This window comes from Homo sapiens, chromosome 12 (genome assembly GCF_000001405.40).
Source record: "Homo sapiens chromosome 12, GRCh38.p14 Primary Assembly".
In the NCBI taxonomy this organism is placed as follows: Eukaryota; Metazoa; Chordata; class Mammalia; order Primates; family Hominidae; genus Homo; species Homo sapiens.
This window is the reverse complement of record NC_000012.12, coordinates 119,548,367-119,572,314: the sequence shown is the minus strand read 5'-3', so window position 1 is coordinate 119,572,314 and position 23,948 is coordinate 119,548,367. Positions and strand designations below refer to the sequence as shown.

At 41.0% G+C, this 23,948-nt stretch overlaps 1 long non-coding RNA gene across 4 annotated transcripts in view; it reads left to right on the top strand.

Annotated features, from left to right (window-relative positions):
- Nucleotides 1-23,948, top strand: part of PRKAB1-AS1 (PRKAB1, TMEM233 and CCDC60 antisense RNA 1) — a 280,141-nt gene that overhangs the window by 95,813 nt on the left and 160,380 nt on the right. For all 4 annotated transcript variants that reach the window (NR_188494.1, NR_188492.1, NR_188490.1 and 1 more), the window contains exon 2: nucleotides 18,670-18,767. This is a non-coding gene — a long non-coding RNA (PRKAB1, TMEM233 and CCDC60 antisense RNA 1). The remainder of the gene's footprint in view (nucleotides 1-18,669; nucleotides 18,768-23,948) is intronic.

The following is a 23,948-nucleotide window of genomic DNA, read 5'->3' as shown; positions in this document are numbered from 1 at the left end:
TTTTTGTCAAATTCTTTTATCTTTAGCCAACCTAGGGTTGCGTTGATGAATGAGTGTAGTTTTGACATGAATGTTAGTTGATATTTTTGTTTAGGTTAATGAGAAAGGCAAAAATGAAACAATGAAGACATGGGAATTTCACTTATTTGTCAATGATATGAGCAACTTTTTTGCTAAGTTGGATAATAGTTTCAATACTGGAAGAGTATTTCTTCTTTTTTGTTATTCATAATGTGATGACTCCTTTTAAGTTTAATCTACGTGGTTAATATTTTATGTATCACTTTTAAAAGTCTAGATCTGGGTTGGCAAATTACAGCTGTGGGTCAAATCTGCCTGCCATATGCCTGCACCCATTTGTTTACATATTGTTTTTGGCTGCTTTTGTACTGCAGTGGTAGAGTTGTATACTTGTGACAGAGACTATGTGGCTTAAAAAACTGCAAATATGTATTGTCTGGCCCTTTACAGAAACAATTTGCTGGTCCCTGGCTTAGACAATCAACAAAACAGTTAATCAAGGTTTATTTGTAATGTTACCAATTTCTGTGGTGTAAATATTCTCACCAACCTGAGGTCACTAAGTGTGATGTTGGAAAGAGATGTATAGTTAGCACACCATTATATAGTGTTTCTACCATATATATGCTATAGAAAGAAATAACCTCGAAGCATCAATAATAATAAAATATTGTAAAATAATTGGAAAACATTGAATTTTTATTATCTTTGTTTTATTTATTTATTTATTTATTTTTGAGTGGGAGTCTCACTCTGTTGCCCAGGCTGGAGTGCAGTGGCACAATCTTAGCTCACTGCAAACTCTGCCTCCCAGGCTCAAGTGATCCTCCCACCTCCGCTTCCTGAGTAGCTGGGATTACAGGTATGCGTCACCACACTTGGTTAATTTTTGTATTTTTAGTAGAGACAGAGTTTCACCATGTCAGCCAGGCTGGTCTAGAACTCAAGCGATCCACCCACGTTCGCCTCCCAAGGTGGTGGGATTACAGGCAGGAGCCATAGTGCCTGGTCATCATCTTTGTTTTAAATATAATTTATTTAATTGTAAGTTCATATAATCATTTTAAATAATGGCTGCATTTAACAGGTGGTTCACAGAATTAATGTAAATTTAACAACTGGCTCCTCAGAAGTTGATATGAGCCAGCTCTGGCACATCACTGGGTTCAGTCTTCATGAGGTTTGTCTTATTTCTGGTTTGCCCTCACTTTTGGCGTCTTATTTCTGGTTTGCCCTCACTTTTGGCGTATAGCCCTTTTCAGTGAAAGGGACAGCCCTTTCATTGAAATTCAAGTGAAAGCCTGGGTGTGCTTTCCTGTTATATGGTTTGGCTCTGTGTCCCCACCCAAATCCCATCTCGAACTGTAATCCTCACGTGTGGAGGAGGGGAAGTGATTGGATCACGGGGCAGTTTCCCCCATACTGTTCTTGTGATAGTGAGGAAATTCTCACAAGATCTGATGGTTTTAAAAGCAGCAGTTTTTCCTGTGCTCTCACTTCTCTCTCCTGCTGCCACGTAAGATGTGCCTTTGCTTCTCCTTTACCTTCTACCGTGATTGTAAGTTTCCTGAGGCCTCCCCAGCCACTCGGAACTGTGAATCAATTAAATCTCTTTCCTTTATAAATTACCCGGTCTCGGGTAGTTCTTTATAGCAGTGTGAAAACAGACTAATGCAACCTGTGACCTTTCTCCTTGTTAGATCCTGAGCTCTTATTTTGCTTCTCCAGTACTGTTGTGATGGTGGAAAGCTTTGCTAAACAGCTCAACCTCTTATATCCACTTTCTTCTCAGTTTCTTAGCTTGGTGCTATTGACAAATTGGCAGAAGATGGCATAGAATGTCAGACTAACCTCGGCGGGCTCAGAGAACTTTAACCTCTTAAGCCCTGGCTGCTTTGATATCTTTGCAATGCCTTCAGATAGATTTTTTGGGCATTTATTAATCTTTTCAAATTGCTTTTGCCAGGAACATTCTGATACAGGCTAGTTCATCAGAACCAGAAGTGAAGTCCCCTGTTTATGACGTTGTAAGTAGAAGTTTTTATATTGCCAAATATATCTGAGCATAGAACTCAGTTTTCCTTTATGATAACTCGTTTAGAAATCCTTTATTAAACTCAAGGTCATTCATATTTTCTTCAAAAATTTAGACTTTTATTTTCACATTTAAGTCTTTTTTTTTTTTTTTTTTTTTGAGACGGAGTCTCATCATCCAGGCTGGAGTGCAGTAGTGTGATCTCAGCTCACTACATCCTCCGCCTCATGAGTTCAAGTGATTCTCCTGCCTCAGTCTCCTGAGTAGCTGGGATTACAGGTGCACACCACCAAGCCCAGCTAATTGTTGTATTTTTAGTAGAGATGGGGTTTGGCCATGTTGGCCAGGCTGGTCTTGAACTCCTGACCTCAAGTGATCCACCTGCCTCGGTCTCTCAAAATGCTGGGATTACAGGTGTGAGCCACCATGCCCGGTCTCACATTTAAGTCTTTAATCCATTTGGAGCTGTATTTTTTAATAGTGTGAAGTAGAAATCAAATTAAAAAAAATTTTTTTACAGATAGCTTATTGTCCTAGTGGTGTTTATAGAGTAGGGGTATACTTTTCCTAGTGACCTGTGATATTTCTTTTGTCGTATGTCTAGTACTGTGTCTGCACTCTCTACTCTGTTTAATTAAACTATTTTTAATATTTTTGCACCAATAAAGTACTATCTTAATTGCTATAGTTTTCTAAGGTAAGTCTTGATTTCTTTTTCTTTTCCAAAAAATGTCGTGGCTGTCTTTGGCTTTTTTCTCTTTTGGAATTAGCTTTTCAAGTTTCACAAAAAACTTTATTAGAATTTCATTTGAAATTGCCTGAATATTTATATAATCAATTTGGGGAGAAATGTCTTTCTTGATATAAATATGTCTTTAATGTCTTTCAAGGGAGTTGTATAGTTGTATAATTTTCCACTTGAGGCTCTGCTTATTTTTAAAATATCTGTATTTCTGGCTACCAGTTTATTTTGCCATCATCATTGAGTATTTTATTTTATTATTTATTATTTTTTAAGAAGGAGTCTCGCTCTGTCACCCAGGCTGGAGTGCAGTGGCATGATCTCGGCTCACTGCAACCTCTGCCTCCTGGGTTCAAGCCCAGCTAATTTTTGTATTTTTAGTAGAGATGCAGTTTCACCGTGTTGGCCAGGCTGGTCTCGAACTCCTGACCTCAAGTGATCCGCCCGTCTTGGCCTCCCAAAGTACTGGGATTACAGGCGTGAGACACTGTGCCTGGCCTGTTGAGTATTTTAAATGTTATATTTCTGTTTGTTGTTGATGCAGATAAATACAGTTAAATTTTATATCACTATTATATTCAATTACCTTGCTAAATTGCCTAATTTATTCTAATAATTTATAGAGTCTTTGCAGTTTCTATGTGAATAATCACATTCATTGCAAATAATTCATTTTGTTGCCATATTTTAATCATTCTACCTTGGTTTAATTCATCTCGTATTATTGCATTGGCTGGGGTATCCAGTACAATTTTGAATGGAAGAAGTGAGAATGAGCACCCTTCTTTTGTTCCCTCCTCTAAAGGGAATACTTCTAAATTTTACCTGCAATTATGATTTCTGTTACAGGTTTTAGGTAGACACGTTTATCAAGTTAACTATTTTTTTTCTCCTATTCCTAGTTTGCTAAGTGTGCTCTGTTTTTTAAAACAAATTACAAATGAATGTTGAATTCTATCCAATGCCTTTTCTTCATCCATTGACAAGATCATATAGTTTTTTTCCTTTGATCTGAAAATGTGACAATTTACATTAAAGGATTTTTAAAGGTTAAGCTAATCTTACGTTCATGGTATAAGCCAAATTGGCCATGAAGGATTTTATTATATGATATAGTTTACGATACGATATATGAATGATATATTTCATGAACATATAGCTAGGTTTTGCTTTCCGATATTTAGGATTTTTGCACATATATTTATTTGCAAGATTATCCTGTAACTTTCCTTTTTCATTTTCTGTCTGGTTTTGGTATCGGAATTATATTAGATTAACGGGTACATTTCCTCTCAGGAATTCTTCGGAAGCACTTGTATAAAATTGGAATTATCTGTTTCTTGAAAATTTGCTGTAAGTTTTTACAATTCTATCTAGATCTTTTTCTTTCCTTTGAGGAAATATTTTAAATTACTGACAAATTTTCTTCGTTTTAGAACTATTCTTGTTTTCTGTTTCTTTCTGAGCCAGTTTTGTAAAATATATAATTTTCCATATATAATTTTCCATGTAGTCTAAACTGTCAAATTTATTGTCATGAAGTTTTTCATAGTATTTCATTATCTTTTAAAATCTCTCTTTTACGTATTTTTAGACATATTCTCCATTTGTGCTTTTTCTCTCTCTTTACTAGATCAATCTCACCAGAGACCTGCATCTGTTATTATTTTTTCTTGAAGAACCAACATTTCATTTTTTAAAAAATCATTTATTTATTTATATATAATATATATTATATTATATATATTATATATTATAATTTATATATATTATATATTATATATAATTTATATATATTATATATAATACATATATTATAATATATATTATATATTTTATATATATATATAATATATATATTTTTGAGATGGAGTTTTTGCTCTTGTCGCCCAGGCTGGAGTACAATGGCATGATCTTGGCTCACCGCAACCTCCACCTCCAAGGGTTCAAGCGATTCTCCTGACTCAGGCTCCCGAGTAGCTAGGATTACAGGTGTGTGCCACCATGCCCGGCCAATGTTTTGTATTTTTAGTAGAGATGGGGTTTTACCAGGTGGGCCAGGTTGGTCTTGAACTCCTGATCTCAGGTGATCCACCTGCCTTGGCCTCCCAAAGTGCTGGGATTACAGGCATGAGCTGCTGCAACCGGCCTATTAATTTATATTCTTTTTACTATTACTATTGCCTTCCTTCTTTCTTTGAGCTTACTTTGTTATATTTATAACTTCCTAACCTGGATACTTAGTTCACTAATTTTTAGCCTTTATTTTTAATATAAAAATTTAAGAATATACATTTTTTGAAGTACTTCACTAGATGCATCCCATAAACTTTAATTTATAGCATTTTCATTATTTTCAATTGTAAGTATTTGTACATTTTCATTATGATTTTTCTTGGATTCATGTTATATAGAAGCATGTTCTTCTTTTTAAAATTGAGAAGCACATTCTCTAAGGTCAACATTTTTTGTTTTCTTTTTGTTATCGACTCCATTACATTCTGATCAGAGATCATAATCTATATGACATTGATTCTTTGAAAGTTGTTGAAACACTTTACTGCCTGAAATGTGGTCACTTTTTGTAACTGTTTCATATGTAATTGAGAAGAATGTGTGTTCTCTAATTGTTGGGTACTGGGTTCTGTATATATCTATTAAATCAGATTTTTAAATTGTGTTGTTCAAAGACTCAGTTACTGCAAGATATGTGTTGAAATCTTCCATTTTGAACACCTGGATCCTGCTATGGCTGAAACATCTATCTTTGGATTTCTTTTTTTTCATTTGAGCCAATGAATTTTTGTTTTTTTGCTTGAGTGGGCTTGGATTGGGTTTTGTTTCACAAACCTAAATAGCTGTCGGTGGACAGTTCGGTTGCTTCCACCTTTTGGCTGTTGTGAATAATGCTATGAAAATAGGTATACAAGTCTCTTTTTGAGGCCGTGCTTTCAACTCTCTTTTTAATGTTTTGAAGAACTGCCATACTGTTTTCTGTAACAGCTACACTATTTTACATTCTCACCAATGGTACACAAGGGTTCCAGTTTCTCCCTATCATCACTAATATTTGTTATTTTCAATTTCTTTTGACTATAGCCATCCTCATGGGTGTGAGGTGATATCTCATGTGGTCAACAGGTTTTTATCATGCGTCTGGCACTGTGCTAAGTGGATTACAGCACAGCAAACACACTTACAGAACTTGAAGCCGTGTGGGTATAAAATATACACACATACCGAATTACAGTTTTGCAAATTGCTCTAAGGGAGAACTTCTCCAAGGGAGAAGTTACAGGGAATGGGGTCGAGGGCGTGACTTACTCCTAGAGGAGGGGCATCTCTTAAAGAGATACGTGGTAGGCTGGGCTTGGTTGCTCATGCCTGTAATCTCAGCACTTTGGGAGGCTGAGGCGGGTGGATCATCTGAGGCTGGGAGTTCGAGACCAGCGTGGCCAACATGGAGAAACGCCATCTCTACTAAAAATACAAAATCAGCCATGCATGGTGGTGCGTGCCTATAATCCCAGCTACTCAGGAAGGTTGAGGCAGGAGAATCGCCTGAACCTGGGAGGCGGAGGTTGCAGTGAGCTGAGATCGTGACACTGCACTCCAGCCTGGGCAATAAGAGCGAAACTCGGTCTCAAAAAAAAAAAAAAAAAAAAGACATGGTAGCTCGCTCCCATGCATCCTCCTGGGATGGAGAACTTTTCATGCTGTTTCCTTAATAGGCTTCTGGGGCGGTGACCTTTTAGCTGCTGAGTTTTCAGAGGCCCACAGGTCCTTTCTTAGCGCACAGTAGCCTTCGGGACTGGGGCTTGCCAAACACCTTCAGAAGTCCCCAAAGAGCTCTTACTCTGGCAAACAGTTTGCCATCAATAAACAGGGCAGTGCTTCCTGCCCAGATGCCTGTTAAACTTGCCTCTCTGCCACAGTGAGTCACTCTTAGCAAAGGTTGCCTTGTTGGGCAGGATGGTCTGGTGACCCAAGGCCACTTGGTTTTCTGTGATCCCTTTTGCCAATTTGTGACCAGAAGTTAGATGGTCACTGGGGCAAGGGGAACTGGTGGTAAATGGAGTCACCAGAGGTGGCAGGATGGTTGCTATGTTTGGGTGCATTTTCCGTTAATTCTGTCTAAATAGGTTTTTAAAAACATATATGTATTTATTTATTTTTATTTTTTTGAGACAGAGTCTCACTCTGTCTCCAAGGCTGGAGGGCAGTGGTGCAATCTCAGCTCACTGGAACCTCCACCTTCTGGGTTCAAGCTATTCTCCTACCTCAGCCTCCTGAGTAGCTGGGATTACAGGTACGCACCACCACGCCTGGCTAATTTTTTTTTTTTTGGAGACAGAGTCTCGCTCTGTCGCCCAAGCTTGAGTGCAGTGGCACAATCTTGGCTCACTGCAAGCTCCGCCTCCCGGGTTCACGCCATTCTCCTGCCTCAGCCTCCCAAGTAGCTGGGACTACAGGCGCCCACCACCACGCCCGGCTAATTTTTTGTATTTTTTAGTAGAGACGGGGTTTCACCGTGTTAGCCAGGATGGTCTCGATCTCCTGACCTCGTGATCCACCCGCCTCGGCCTCCCAAAGTGCTGGGATTACAGGTGTGAGCCACCGCGCCCGGCCTAATTTTTGTATTTTTAGTAGAGACTGGGTTTCACCATGTTGGCCAGGCTGGTCTCCAACTCTGGACCTCAGGTGATCTGCCTGCCTCAGCCTCCCAAAGTGCTGGGGTTACAGGTGTGAGCCACCGTGCCCAGCCACTAAATAGTTTTTAAAATATATATAGAGAGAGTGGCAAGATTGGACCCAATGATCCTTTCTTGCTTGGCATTTGGAGAGCTTGAGAGGAGGTGCCCAGGGCAGTCATTTTGACATTTTCTTTGAAGAGACAGGATGACACCACCCAGTTATGCTAAATTCTTGGAAAATTAGTGCAATACCCCTCTCTTCTTTCTCACTCAAGAAAGTTGAGAAGAAAGCCAATTTATAGGCTGGGTGCAGTGGCTCATGCTTGTAATCTCAGTGCTTTGGAAGGCTGAGGTGGGAGGATTGCTCGAGGCCAGGAGTTCAAGACCAGCCTGGGCAACATAGTCAGACCTCATCTCTACAAAAAATTTAAAGAAATCAGCTGGGTATGGTGGCATCTGCCAGTAGCCCCAGCTACTTAGGAGGCTGAGGTGGGAGGATCGCTTGAGCCCAGGAGTTCAGGGTTATAATGAGCTCTAATTGTGCCATTGCACTCCAGCCTGAGTGACAGAGCTCTAAAAAAAATTCCAAATTATAAGTGTAATATCATTATAGCAAAGCATACTTGGCATAGCACCTGGCACTTAGACCTGTGCTCAAGACCATAAGCTATTTTTATTTATTGTTATTATTATTATTATTATTTTTGAGATAGAGTCTTGCTCTGTTGCCCAGGCTGGAGTGCAGTGGTGTGATCTCGGCTCACTGCAATCTCTGCCTCCCTGGTTCAAGTGATTCTCTGCCTCAGCCTCCCAAGTAGCTGGGATTACAGGCACCCGTCACCACGCCCAGCTAATTTTTGTATTTTTAGTAGAGACGGGGTTTCGCCATGTTGGCCAGGCTGGTCTCGAACTCCTGACCTTAGGTGATCCACCCACCTCAGCCTCATAAAGTGCTAGGATTACAGGTGTGAATCACTGCGCCCGGCTTATTTTTAATTAATTATTATTATGTATGTCTTAGGCCTAACCTTCAACCAGGAGTAGCCAAACCACACCCCATGGTCCACATCCATCCTGCCACCTGTTTTTGTATGACCTGAGAACTAAGAATAATTTTTGCATTTTTAAGTAGCTAAAAAAGAGAATAATAGTCTCTGACATGTGAAAATTGTATGAAATTCAAATTGCAGTATCCTTAAATAAAGCTTAATGGGAACACAGCATTGCCTGTTTGTTTATGCATTGTCTGTGACTGCTTTCACACCACCATGGCCGAGTTCAGCAGAGACCATACGACTCACAAAGTCTCAAATATTTATTTTCTGTTCCTTTACAGAAAAAGTTTGCCAAAACTCTTACTAGACTGTCACATCCATTGGAATCCACAAGTACGTACTTGTTGAATATTTATCTGTGAGGTTCAAGACCATGTCCATCTTGCTCACCATTGTCTTTCTCTCTCTTTTTTTTTTTTTTTGAGACGGAGTTTTGCTCTTTCGCCCAGGCTGGAGTGCAGTGGGTGATCTCGGCTCACTGCAACCTCTGCCTTCCGGTTTCAAGCAATTCTCCTGTCTCAGCCTCCCCAGTAGCTGGGATTACAGGCGTCCACCAACACGCCCGGCTAATTTTTGTATTTTTAATAGAGATGGGGTTTCACCATGTTGGCCAGGCTGGTCTTGAACTCCTGACCTTGTGATCCACTCTCCTTGGCCTCCCAAAGTGCTGGGATTACAGGCATTGAGCCACTGCGCCCAGCCTCACCATTGTCTTTCTATTTCTGAATACAGAATTGATCTCAGTCGTTTCTGTGGAGTTCATTGTTACCCAGATGTCTTGGGATTTTCCAGCTTTCATGGGTCATCTTCCATTACAGTTGTTATATAATTGAGCTCTGTTTTGCGTTGATCCAAAAGAATTGCAGTTTTATACCAGGTAGTGCTCCCTGGGCATTTCTGGGGGTCCTTGAGGAATGCTTTCATGTTCCCACATCTGTTTTAAGAGTATTCCTCTGGGAGCCTCCTCCTAAGTTCTCTGCTAGACATCTTTCATTGCCCTAATTAGCCCCATTTCTTTTACTGGAGATCTGGAGGTGAGAGCAGAAAAACATCATAGGAAAGCCTGGACCCTAAATCCCGGACTTCACATATTTTAGAGCTCATGCATCGTGCTCATGAGCACCCCAACTGGTGAACCTTTTTCTCCTGCCATGGTGTCGTGGGCTCATCCTGTTTCCCATGTCGTTGGAGTCTTTGACTATCTCTCCTCCAAATCCCAACTTCCACTTTGTTCCAGAGAGAGAGAAGGAGAAGCCTTTCCTCTCCATCACACAAAGTATTCTTTAGAGAGATGCATTTCTTCCCTCCATGACCTTTTCAGAAGAGGAGATTGCAGCCAGGTGTGGCGGATCACACCTGTAATCCCAGCATTTTGGGAGGCTGAGGTAGGCCAATTGCTTCAGGTCAGGAGTTCCAGACCAGGCTGGCCAACGTGGTGAAACCCCATCTACTAAAAATACAAAAATTTAGCCAGGCATGATGTTGAGCACCTATAATCCTAGCTACTCAGGAGGCTGAGACACGAGAATCACTTGAGCCAGGAGGTGGAGGTTGCAGTGAGCTGACATTGCGCCACTGTACTTCAGCCTGGGCGACAGAGCGAGACTCCATCTCAAAAAAAAAAAAAAAAAAAAAGAGGAGATTGTTTACCCTTTGCTTAACTGAAATGCCTCCAGGAGTCCAAGAGTGTTCTCCCAAAACAAAACAGAAATTTTCCTTCCTCTTCTCTTCAGAACCACTGTGATGAACTCAATCTCTGTCTGATGAGTAGCTGAAAAAAATGCTGGTGGCTTTAAAATACCTGTTTGTCCCCCACTTTGAGCCTACAAGATAGTAGAAAATATCAAAATTCAGTTTCACAGCACAAATGAATAAATGAATGAACCTCCTCTATCTATATATATATGTATATGGTAAATACAATGTTCTGTATTTAAATTGTAAATACATTTTATATAGCACATATATGTAGTATATAAATACATGTACTTTTCTCTATATAGCATATCATACAGTAAAATATTATAGGGTCAGTCACGGTGGCTCATGCCTGCAATCCCAGTGCTTTGGGAGGCCAAGGCAGGAGGATCGCTTGAGGCCTGAAGTTCAAGACCAGCCTGGGCAACATAGGTAGACCCTGTCTCTACAAAGCATTTTAAAAAGTTAGCCAGGTGTGGTGGTGTACACCTGTGGTCCTAGTTGCTTGGGAGACTGAGGCAAGAGGATTGCTTGAGCCCAGGAGTTGGAGGCTGCAGTGAGCTATGATTGTGCCACTGTACTCCAGCCTGAATGACAGAGCGAGACTCTTTCTCAAAAAATAAATAAATAAAATAATATATTAAATTACCTAAAAACATTGATACTTTATTATTAGTGGCTCATGTCTTTCTTCATAGGGATTCAGACCCAGCCTTGGTTAATCTCTGGTTAAGAAACGCTGGGCCTAACAGCCAGGTGCTGATGCCTGAAATTATGAGATGAATTTCTGATTGGGCTTCTTGGCTTCACTCGTACTTTTCCATGCCCACAGCCTGGTATCCTCCTCCAATGTTAGCCAGCTCTGGTGTTTAAAAATGAACTCCAAAGTCCCCAGGACTGGGTGCAAGGGAGGTGAGAAGAGAGGATGGGACAAGCATGGGCATTGATCGATGACCTCCTCTTCCTGGAAGAGTCTTCCAAGTATCTGCCCTACCGGTAGCAGGTTATTCTAGGCTCCTAAGTCTGTGGGGGTGCAATGGTGTTAATAACATCCTGTGCTGAGTGGGCACAGGTGGAGGAAGTGGATACCCAGGAAGCTGGAGGAAGGGAAGAGAGGCAGTGAGTGGGTTCACAGGCTGAGAAAAGCACTTTGATGTGCTAGTGGGGTCTGGTGTTAGAATCTGGCTTTGAGGTTCTTTTAGGGGTAACAGCTGTGATCAAAGAACCAGTGCCATTGTGATGGTGGTGAGAATAATGCCTGTTTATGTCTCTTCTTTTTGCTACTTTTTTTATGACGAAAGTCATAGATTCCTTTTTTACATTTAAAAAATATATGTAAGAGAATAAAAATGGATCCCATCACTAAAAGATTTCATCAAAAAATATCCATGGAGCTTCACCTGTGGCTAGATTCCAGGTTCTGGGAATAGAGAGAGAACAAAACAGACACCCTCCCTCCTTCCTGGAATTTATGAACAGATGAACAAATGAATAAGATATTTTCAGATAGTGATAAAGGCAAGGAAGAAAATAAAAGAGAACATACAAGTATCTTGGTGGGAGGTTAGTTTAGCAAGAGGTGATCATTGTTCACATTTGCGTGTGTGGTGTTCAAGGTCTTTTTTACCTTTAGTGTCTGTCCTTCTCTTTGCATTCTGATCTAATTATGCATCATCTATCTAAAAATGGGATCATGATGTACACGCTGTGTTGTAACCTTACTTTTTTCATTTACTTGGAAACATCTGTTTCATTTATTCATCGGCATCATTATTTTTACAGATGCAGAGCAATTCATCACATAGGCTATACCATGCTTACATAACCAGCCCTTTATGATTGCACATAGGTTGCTTCCATTGTGTTGAAAAGATGATGTGTCTGGAAACTGTCCCTTTCCTTACATTGCCACTACCACCTCCCTGGCTCAAGCTTGGGAGGTGGCAGGTCCCTTGCTTGGACCATTGAAGTAGCCTCTTAACTAGTCCTCTGGCTTCATTTTATACTCCTCTGCCAAGATTTTATATTTCTGGTCATGCCACTCTTTGGCTTCCAAACTATCATTGGCTCCCTACTGCCTACACAATGAAACCTAAACATCTTGGATTTATGATGGTTGGTTGTGCACTCGTAAAACTGGATGGCTTGAATAAGCATGTGAAAAGATGCTAAATACCCTTAGTCATTACAAAAAATGCAAATCGAAACCACAACTAGATACTACTTCACCTTTATTAGAATGGCTGTTAAAAGCAACAATAACAACAATGGAATATAATAAGTGTTGGCAAGGATGCAGAGAAATTGAAACCCTTGTACATTGCTGGTGGGAATGTAAAATGCTGCAGCCGCTACAGAAAACAATACGATGGTTCCTCAAAAAGCTAAAGAGAATTACTATACAGCCCAGCAATTTCACTTCTAGGTAGATAACCAAAAGAATTGAAAACAAGGACTTGAACAGATACTTGCTCATCAGTGTTCACTGCAGCATTAGTCACAATAGCTAAAATGTGGAAACAAACCAAATGTCCATCCACCAATGAAACGATAAAGGGAATGTGGAATATTCATATGATGGGATATTATTTAGGTGTACAAAGGAATGAAGATACAGTACATCCCTCAGCATGGATGAAACTTGAAGGCATTATGCTAAATGATATAAGCCAAACACAAAGTGATCAATGTTGTATAATTCCACTTACAGTAAATACATAGATTAGGTAAATTTAAGGAGACAGAAAGTAGATTAGAGATTACCATGTTCCTGGGAATGGGGAGGTATTGCTTAATGGGTACAGAGTTTCTGCAAGGGTGATGGAAGAGTTTTGGAAGATGGAAGAGTTTCAAGATAGTGATGATAGTTGTACAGCAATATGAATGTAATTAATGCCATTGAATTGTCAACTTAAAAATGATTAAAATGGCAAATTTTATGTATATTTTAGTACAATTAAAAAAAAAACCTGGATGATATGTCCATCCCTGCCTCCATGCCTTTGCTCACATGGCTTTGCTCTTGCTGGGGAACACTTTTCTTACATTTTTGTCTATTGAAATCTCATTCTGTTTTCAAGGCCGATCTCAAATAGGACCTCCTTCCTTGATGACTTTTCTAACTTATTGTCTCCCTATGTGTTCTCAAACCCATGTGATCTTCCATTTGTTTGAGCTCTCAGACTATGTTCTATGTCCCTTTTGGGCTGTTTCTTTGCCTTCATCACTTACTATGCTGTAAGTTCTTTGAGTAGAGGGACCTTGCCTTATTCATCTTTGCATTATTCATCCAACAAATATTTACTGAGACCATACTATGTGGTAGCCTGGAATATAATGCCAGTACACTGTAAAAAGTCAATTAATGTTCAGTTGAGTTGGCATGCCATATGTGGTCTGGACCTCGAATTTTTGGAGGACTTTCAGAGTGTGTAACCTTAAGGAGGAGTCAGTTTTCCTCCCTACTTAATAGTCTTGTTGGCACTCATTCTTGGAAGTAGTGGACTATCATAGGTAGTTTTCTCTTTCTTCTGGGAACATATATCATTCTTCTTTTTGGGAAATCATTTTCTTTCTTCTTCCCTGACTCCAACCCATGTGATTTGAGTGAACTGCCATGTTTTCACATGATCTTGCTCTCTTGGTTGCTGTTGATTGGTTCAAGGTGAACACCTGACCCAAGATGGACCAATCAGAGCTTTGCCCTAGGATTTTTGAAACCAGAACAGAGAGGAGAGCCTGGGGAGTTGAGAAGCCACATTGCCACGTGTGTTAGAAGCTGGCATGCAGCAGGATGTGGCTGATGCACAGAGGGAAGAAGAGAGGAGCAGAGAGAAAAAAAACCCTGGTTCCAGTTGCATCAAAGATCCATCTGTATCTTTATCCCTTTCAGAGCTTGATGTTTCAACACTTCATTGTATTCCTCAAGGCAACAAATTCCCCTTTAGTCTAAGTTAGTTTGAGTTTAGACTCTGTCACTTGCAACCAAATTGCTGCACCTCTCTGAGCCTCAGTTTCCTCATTATAAAGTATTGATAATGACCCCTTCCTCATATTTTAAAAATTTGATGCATATAAAATGCTTATGATGGTTCCTGGCACATAACACACACCCAATAAATGTTAACAATGATTACTATTGGAATTAGCATTCATAGAGCCTGGAGACGATGTGAATGAGAACATAAGTCTATCAAATAAGAATAGAGATGGCTCTGATTTTTCTTTAGGCTCTATCCAAGACAGAAGGGCCATTTTTTTTTTCATGACTTTAGTACCTCTTTGCTTAATGTCCTTGTAAGGCCCAGACATGCCTCCTTCATTGATGACAAGGAGTTCTCACCACCGTTAGCCAGTTCTCATTAAGGTGTTTCCACTATGGGGGTCTGAGACACAGATGGGCTTGTTCCATACTCTGAAAGGAGCCTCACTTCACTACATTCCCCTTTGGCTCCAGCTGATAGACACTCAGTACACAGTTCCAAGACTTAATGGCATTCTGCTTGTATGTTGCCAAACACTAAAACCTTGTTGTTGGAGTTAAGTGTTTTGGGAAATGGTCTGTAATATTTCACCAACCGAGACTTCAAAAAGTTGGAATTGCTGAATGAGCTGCCAGATCTGAACTTGATCTCCAATTGGCCCACCTGTGCTCACTGGAGAGGACGTGTTGAAACCTTTCCTGTGAGCTCTGTGAATTCATTTAAGAAATATTCCGTCCCTGCAGTGGCATTTAGTGGCACATAGTAGACTCTCAATTGTGGATTTTAAATATATTATGCATTTTAAAGACACTAAAAATATAATAACTTCAAATACTTAAATCATGGTTACACTGTGTCAGACACTCTTTCAAGCATCTACATATACTAATACAGTGGTTCATGAACTCTCCTGCACATTAGAATCACGTGGGTAATTTAAAATAGTCCCTATGCTTAGGCCACACCCTACACCAATGAAATCAGGCTCCCCTAATTTGAGTTTTAAACACTCCCCAGGTGACTCACATATGTAGTCAACTGTGAGAATCAGGGAATGAACTCATTTAATCTTCATAACACCTTATAAAACAGGTGCTGCTACTACTCATGTTGCATAAGTGAGGAAACTCAGGCACAAGAGACAGATTAAGTAAGTGACTTGCCCAAGGTCACACAGCTGACAGATGTCAGAGCCAAGTGTTGAACCAGGCTGTATGGTCCCAGAATTCATGCCTTTAATCACCAAAACCTGTAACCAGAGGCCCGCATATTCTTTTTATTTGAAAAAATTTATCTTAAAAGTATTTGTTTACACACACACACACACACACCACATGTGTTTACGTTATACAGATTAATTGTATAATGAAAATCTGTGGCCCCGTCAACCAAAGAACTAGGGCATTGCCAATAAGGCATACACCTGATGCTCTTTCCCAGTCCAGGGCCCCAGGTCCCCTCCACAGAGGTCATTGTTATCCTGAGTTTGGGAGTGTATCACTGCTTTGCATATATAAAGTCATACCTACACAGCATGTGTTTTACTCTTGCTTATTCTTGTTTTATAAAAATGAGATCATGCTATTATATGTAGTCTTCTGGTTTTAATTTTTTTCCTACTATTTCCCAAATTTTTTTTTTTAATTTTTATTTTAGGTTCAGGGGTACATGTGCAGGTTTGTTGTACATTAATAGGTAAACTTGTGTCTCGGGGGTTTGTGGTACAGGTTATTTCATCACCCAGGTATTAAGTACCCAATAGTTATTTTTTCTGCTCCTCTCCCTCCTCCCACCCTCCATCCTCAGGTAGGCTCCAGTGTCTGTGGTTCTCTTCTTTGTGTCTACGAGTTCTCGTCATTCAGCTCCCACTTATCAGTGAGAACATGCAGTATTTGGTTTTCTGTTTCTGTGTTAGTTTGCCAAGGATAATGGGCCTCCAGCTCCATCTATGTTCCTGCAAAAGACATAATCTCATTCTTTTTTATGACTGCATAGTATGCTGTGGTGTATATGTACCACATTTTCTTTATCCAATCTGTCATTGAGAAGTTTGCGTATTCTTATTCTTATTCTCTGTCCCCATCCCACTGTCTGGTTCAAACTCCCATGCTCTCATAATGTCTCCTGGACATTTCGAAGTCTCCTCATTGGTCTTCTTTCTTGAGTCTCAGGCTCTCTAACTCAGCTCTGTCCAATGGAATTATAATGCAAGCCACATATGTAATTTTAAATTTTCCACTGGCCACATTAAACAAGTAAAAAGCAGGATAAATTAATTTTAATACCATATTTTATTTAACCCAATATATTCCAAATATCCTTTTGACACATAATCAATATTAAACAATATTAACGAGATAGTCTACATTCCTTTTTTCATACTCAGTGTTCAAAGTCCCGTGTGTATTTTATACTTATAGTTGTTGAAAAATCACAAAATCCATGCATTTAGATAAAGAGACTTTATTTTTTTAAAAAGGGTTACAGTCTACAAGGTGGCCATCCCACAGGCTGGGAACCATACTTCTGGCCAAAGTCATTAGCAGGCATTTTGAAGGAGGTGGGGTTGGTTTTTTTTTTTTTTTTTTTTTTTTTTTTGAGATGGAGTCTCGCTTTGTTGCCCAGGCTGAAGTGCAGTGGCGTGATCTCGGCTCACTGCAAGCTTCACCTCCCGGGTTCATGCCATTCTCCTGCCTCAGCCTCCCTAATAGCTGGGACTACAGGTGCCCGCCACCACGCCTGGCTAATTTTTGTATTTTTAGTAGAGACGGGGTTTCACCTTGTTGGCCAGGATAGCCTCGATCTCCTGACCTCATGATCTGCCCACCTTGGCCTCCCAAAGTGCTGGGATTACAGGCGTGAGCCACTGGGCCTGGCCAGGAGGAGGAGGGGTTGGACAGGAATTTTAGCTCACTGGGGTGGCCAAGTATGCGTATTCAACAGGTTACGAGAGGAGTTATGAATATTTATGAAGGTAGTTATGACACGTGTATTGAACAAATATGCATGTGACATGTGACATATCACCCCACCTTGGGGTGGGGCTTGATATTTAAATGTATTATAATTAGATCCTATATGTCAAAAGGTCTTTTTAGAACGAAGGCACTCATGTGCACAGCCTCTGTAAACTGGCCAGAATCAGTCCATGGTCAGTGGTCTTTTTTATTAGGAGAAAGTTATTGAAATCAATTTCTTGCCTAATCAAAGCTGTAGTTATGGCTGGTGGAAAGGGAACGGTGCGGGGGAGGATCAGTTAGTCAGTGTCTGGTGGTTGGTTCGTTGCAGTTGTTTTAACACTGCTTATCTCAAGGCCAGCACTTGTTTAGCTGCTAGAGAAAAAGAAAAACCTTGTGGCAGTTAGAATATAGTTTATTCTTTAAGTGAAGGAGTGTGTGACTTAACCCTTTCCTGGCATGGCCTTAGGCCCTGTTTATAACTTGGTATCTTATTACTACGAAGAGTTCATTTTGTCGGTCTTGTGATCTCTATTTTAACATTAACGCTGGTCAGTTGTCTGTAAACTACACAAAAGAGGGGGTATAACGAGGTGTGTTGGACCTCCGGTTCTTGTCATTGTCGTGAACTCAGTTTTTAAGGTTTTTCTGGGGGTCTCTTTGGCCAAGAGGGGGTCTGTTCTGTCAGTGGGGCAGGGGGCTTAAGATTTTATTTTTAGTTACATAGCACATCTCAATTTGGAATGGCCATGTGTCCAGTGGTCAGTAGCCACACGTGGCTAATGACCCTCATATTAGATGGTGCAGCTCTAACCCATTCTCCACCCTGCAGACAGACCAAACTTTCTAAAATGGAAATGTCACCAGTTTTCTCAACAATTTAGAACATATTCCTGGCTTCCTATTACTCTCAAGACAAATTCCTCAAGGTTCTTTGTGATTTATTTCCAACTCACCCTTTTAGGTTATTTTTCTGTAACTTCACATAGGGACCTTCCAGCCCTATCAAACTTCATTTTTCTCCCCGAATACGTAATTGTTTTTCAGGTCACTGTGACTTTGCACAGGCGGTTTTCTCCACCTGAAAGGTCGTTCCTGTTCTCTTGTTCTTTCCACTTCTTCACCTACAACACTCCTCTTCCCCCCAGATGCCTTCTCGTTTATTTAAAAAATCTTTGAGGATTCATCTGGGATGGATTAGTCCAACCCTCCTGTGCATTCATATGGAACCTTGAATACAGCTTTTATCATATTTGTCGGTAGCTGCCTATGTGCTCACATCTCTCACAAGGCCAAGTGCTTCACCAGAGCAAGGATCATGGCTTGTCTCCCTTTCTGCTCCCAGTACCTTTCTCTCTCAGTGCCTGTCAAATATTCGGCACATAATATTAGACCCCATTCCTTCCATTCATTCGTATTACTTGCCTGGTCTTGGTTGAAATGTAGATTTGGGACCCTCATAATCTAGCTCTCTGATTTTACAGATGGGGAAACTGAAGCCCTAGAGGAAAAGAAGACTAAATGTATTACCATCTGACCCACTTCCTGGCCAGCCTGTTCACCTGTCTGCTGTTCTTCATTGGTGAGTTTTCTGCAAAGGTAAAATGGCATTAAATTGAAGATGAGAGGAGGAGGCCAGTTGGCCTGCTTTATGCAATCAGTGGTTCATGAAATCATGCAGTGTAAACAAAATGTTTGTAAATGAGACCGCATTTCAGATGCCCTAGAGTTGCTAGACCTGTAATGCAATCCTCTTACAAGTGCTGGAATAATGAGAAAAGGGTGTTAAATTTATTGTCTTTGTAAATTTGTATCCCTTTCCTCCTCTATTGGAACTGCCTTACAAGTGAGATCCAGCTGCTGTTTTAGCAAACTTGGATGGCGATGTTTCTGTGTCACCCCAAGTAAAAATGGTTTGGGGTGGGTGATCTGTTTCTTTGATCCCTTGAAACCTCAGCTCTCTTTTTTTATCATGGGGTCAGGGTGGGGAGAAAGAGAGAGATTTAGAATGTGCTTAGAACAGCCAGTTTGTGGGGTGAACTAAAGAACATTGCAGAGCATTATTTCATGCTCCTTGATTTAGGCACTTGGCCATTTGACTCCCATTAACCTGGAAATTGCATGTTTAAAAAAACCTCTATGTAAAGTTAAGTTTTTTATGCACAAGTTAGGTGCACTGTTTCTCTTGGCAAACTCGCTTTTGTTGGGAGAGAAGCTAGAGAACCAAGGAGGAGATAGAGGAGGGGTTAATTAGGATATCAGTTGCCTGGGGTCATTTAATGCAAGGGAAGATAACTAATCTTTCAGTATCTGAGAGCATCACTGGGGTACAGAGAGAGGCATGCCAATTCATAGGTACCCTTGATGCTCTAGAATTAATAATAGGAGATTTAAAGAAGAGGCATTGGAAGCTTATCAGAAGTAACACGGGATGAGAAGACAAGAATGCCACTATTATCCCTTTCATATTGTGGAATGCCCAACTTCTCCTGGGTTTCTTAGCTTGCCTGATGCCAGACACGTGGTCTCTTTCTCAGTATAGACTGAATGAGGGTGCCAGGGTCAATCCACACCCAAACTACTCGTAAAACTTCAAATAGACTTTTGCTAAGATAGCTATAAATATAAGTTCTAATATTTTTTTCTGCTCCCTAATGGATCATCTTGTGCAGCCCTTCCACTTTGAAGACCATTGAGCTAGGAAATATACTTACCCAGCGCCTCTTTTCACAGTGGTAGAGACATGAGGGTTGGCTCTGATAACAGTCCCCACCTTGCATTTGTTTCATGCTCTTTTAAATCCAAATTGGCACTTTCACACCTGCTGCAAAACGGAGTGATAAAACATCTGTGTTCTTAGTCTTTCCGTTTTCTGTTGATTGATGTTGTGAATTTAACTCAGGATTTCGTCTTAGCATTACCTGCATGATATATCCCATAGCAGTGCCTTTCTCTACGACCTCACTCGCCCTCTTAGAGGAAGAGGTGTCTAGAATTTGACTATGCTTATATACAGATCTCTTTTCTTTCTCCTGCTGCATTAATTGGGAATCAGTTTGTTGCAAGTGAAGGAAATCAAATTAAATCTGGCTTCCGAAGAAAGAGAAGCTGTTAGCCACCATAACCAAAAGTTCAAAGATCTGGCTAGAGAGCCAGGGGCCCGAATGATGCGACCAATATTTGATCTCTCTTTTGCTGCATTTCTTGGCTTTGTTTTCCTCCCTTTGTTGGCAATTTCTCTCTGTGTGTTGGTTCCCAGAAGCTGTAGGCTTGTTTTATCCTTAGTGTTAACAGTTCCAGAAAAAAGAGGGCTTCTTGTTCTCTCTTCCAGTTCCAACATAAGTTCGGGAATTGAGCTTTATTGGATTACTTTGGGTGTCCATCCTGAGCCATTTGCTATGATTAGGGAAATGTCATGCTTGCATTATCCAGGTCTTGGTCACATGCCCACACCTGGCACTGGATTGAAGCACTGCTCAATCCACAATGAATGAGAGTCAGGAGGAAGGGGTTGCTGCCTAAAGAAGAGGGAGTGGGTAGACACAAGCTACACATGTGTTCCACCTTTGAGTGAGGACTTTCCTTGACAGAGGCTCAACCACAGGGTTGGAACAATACAGTCCTTTGCCTGAATTACAGCTTTCATTTTGCTATGCAATTGTGACGCCAACTATCCGGAGGTAGGTCAAAACTTTCAGATTAAGGGTACACAAGAATGTCTTCAATTAAGACACCATTCATAGTGGTCCCAGGCCACCTATACTTTTGACCAGCTGGCTACAATTTGAGGGTTCCCACTAGCCCCTCTGGTCCATTAATTCACTATCATATATATCATACTTTGTTGAGTTCTTATCTGTTTATAAGACAGAACAACCCACAGAACTCAACAAAATATGATATAGATGATTACAATTTTATTATAAAGGATATAAATCAAAATGATCCAAATGAAGAGTGACACAGAGTGAAGTCTGGGAGGGTCCAAGATGTGGCATTTCCATGTCTTCAGGATATCGATATATGATTATCGAATAGGGAAACTCACTGGAATGTCGGATGTTCAGAATTTTTATTAGGGCTTCATCATGTAGACATGCTTGGTTGAATCAATGGCCATGTGATTGAACCCCACCTCCAACCCTCCTTCTGTCCCCAGAGCATAGGAAGATGAAAGGATATAACGTGGTTCAAAACCCCAACCCTCTAATCACATTGTTGGTCTTTCTGGCATGACCAGCTTCCAGCCAAAAACTATCTAGGGACCCACTGTGGATCACCTCATTAGCATAAACTCAGGGGTGATCTGTGGGGCCCACTATGAATAACAAAGAAACTCTTCTCACTCAGGAACTTCTAAGGGTTTAGAGGCTCCCTCCCAGAAACTGGGGATAAAGACCAAACCAATTCCTTATGATACACCACTCCTCTATGCTGGATCCCAAACTCTTCCCAGGCCTGGAAACTAACACCGTCCAATATTCACTGTCTCCTCTGCTGCCACCACTTCTGGACCCAACACCAACTCTGGCTGAGGCTTTCAGCCTCTTCCTCCCTCAGCCCATCAGAGATCTCCTTTGGGGTCTCCTCCTGAACCCTACTGTCCCCTATTCCAAGCCCTTCTTTCTTTTCCTCCCAAAGCTAGTGACTTTGGAAGAGTCCACCCCTCTGTGTCTCAGTTTCTTCATTGGTAAATGTAGGATGTGGATTGGTTTCAACTCAGCTGTTACTTCTTCCAGTAAGCCTTCTCTAGAGGACACTTTTGTTTTTTTATGAGTAGCTTCTCAGTCCTTTTCCTTTTCTTGGGGAACTTTCACTCTATGAGATTAATATTTCTCCTATTATGAAAGTCAAACAATCCAGATACTTGCTTTCTCAGCTTTTTTTGTCAACTAGGATATGATCATGTGACTTAGGCTTTGCGATCGGATTTTTATGTTTTCAGAGGCAGTAATGTAAAGACTCAGAGTTAAATTAGCCAGAATCAGATTCTATTGCTTGCATATAAAGACTTTGGCTGATGTACCTTTTTTGACTTGCCAGACTCCGGTGGTGGCTTTCTGTGTGCTCCATCTTTCTCTGCCATTGTTGTCATAGCTGAGTTGTATTGAGTCTTTACTGTAAGCTGGATGCTTTACACAGCCTATTTCACTGAATTTTTTTTTTTTTGAGATGGAGTCTCACTCTGTCAAACAGGCTGGAGTGCAGTGGCGTGATCTCGGCTCACTACAACCTCTGTCTCCCGGGTTCAAGCGATTCTTCTGCCTCAGCCTCCAGAGTAGCTGGGATAACAGGTGCCTGCCACCACTCCTGGCTAATTTTTATATTTTTAGTAGAGAGGAGTTTCCCCATGTTGGCCAGGCTGGTGGTCTCGAACTCCTGACCTCAAGTGATCTGCCCACCTTGGCCTCCCATAGTGTTGGGATTACAGGCGTGAGCCACCAAGACTGGCCCAGGCTATCTCATTGACTCTTTAGTGGTGTTCTCATTTTACAGATGAGATATATAGAAGTGAAGATACCTCTCAAGGTCATACAGCCAATGACAACACAACTAGGATCTGAACTTTCTCAGTCTGACACCTGAACATTCTGTTTTAACCATCACAGTATAACACCACTATTTAACCTTTGGAGGACACAGGCTCTCTTTATACCTCTGGCGTCTCTCAAATAGCCTGGAGCATGGTAGGTGCTCAATGATATGCAAGCTCAGGTTGATGACAAGGTCTCACCTGGCGCAAACATTCTATGAGTTTCCTACCTCCACCTGTCAAACTGCAGCCCTTCTTCTTTCAGTCCCCTTCTCCCACTTGTTACCTCCAGGACTTACCATCTAATCAATATACACTATTCTTCACCTCCTTCCCACCCCTGTTCCCGTGAACACCTTAAAATGATTGTTGAAAATCTTCCCCCGTCACCAGTTTTTCATTTTCACCCCTGTTCCTAGATTATTTTGACTTTGGGGATGAAGATGTCTCTGCCTTGTGAAGGGCTTTGTACTGTGTCATATGTTCTCTGCCTTACCCCCAGCTCCTTAGTGACCCCTGAGTTTCACATCTTTGGGAAGGTTTTAGCAGAGTTAATGTTGCCATTTGCAAGGCACACTGCAGCCTTTTTGTGGAGTTCCAAGTATAACAAATCTGGGTTCTCTTTGGCATGATGACATCTTGCTTGAAAGAGTCAAAGGCTTTCTCTGAGATTTGCAGACGAGGGAGCTATCATTCAAACAGCTATCAAAAGAGCAGATGTTAGTTAAGGGCGAGGCGTGAGAATGATATTGTTATTGGTTTATGCAACTGAGTATTTTCAGCTTCAAGTAGCAGAAAACCCAGACTCAGCTGCTTTGGGCAATGAAGGTTGTATCAACTCACTTCAAAATGTTCCAGCCAAGGTGATTCTCTTGAATCTGCCCCTTGTTGGCAGCAAGGTGCCTGCACAATTTAGTGAAGACACGATAAGTTCCGGGAAAGGACTGTTTTCCTCTGTGCTCTGTGTTTTTTTTTTTTTTTTTTTTTTGAGATAGAGTCTTGTTCTGTCACCCACGCTGAAGTGCAATGGCGTGATCTCGGCTCACTGCAACCTCCGCCTCCCGGGTTCAAGTGATTCTCCTGCCTCAGCCTCCTGAGTAGCTGGGATTACAGGTGCCCACCACACCCAGCTAATTTTTGTATTTTTAGTAGCGATGGGGTTTCACCAGGTTGGCTGGGCTGGTCTCGAACTTCTGACCTCAGGTGATCCACCTGCCTTGGCCTCCCTAA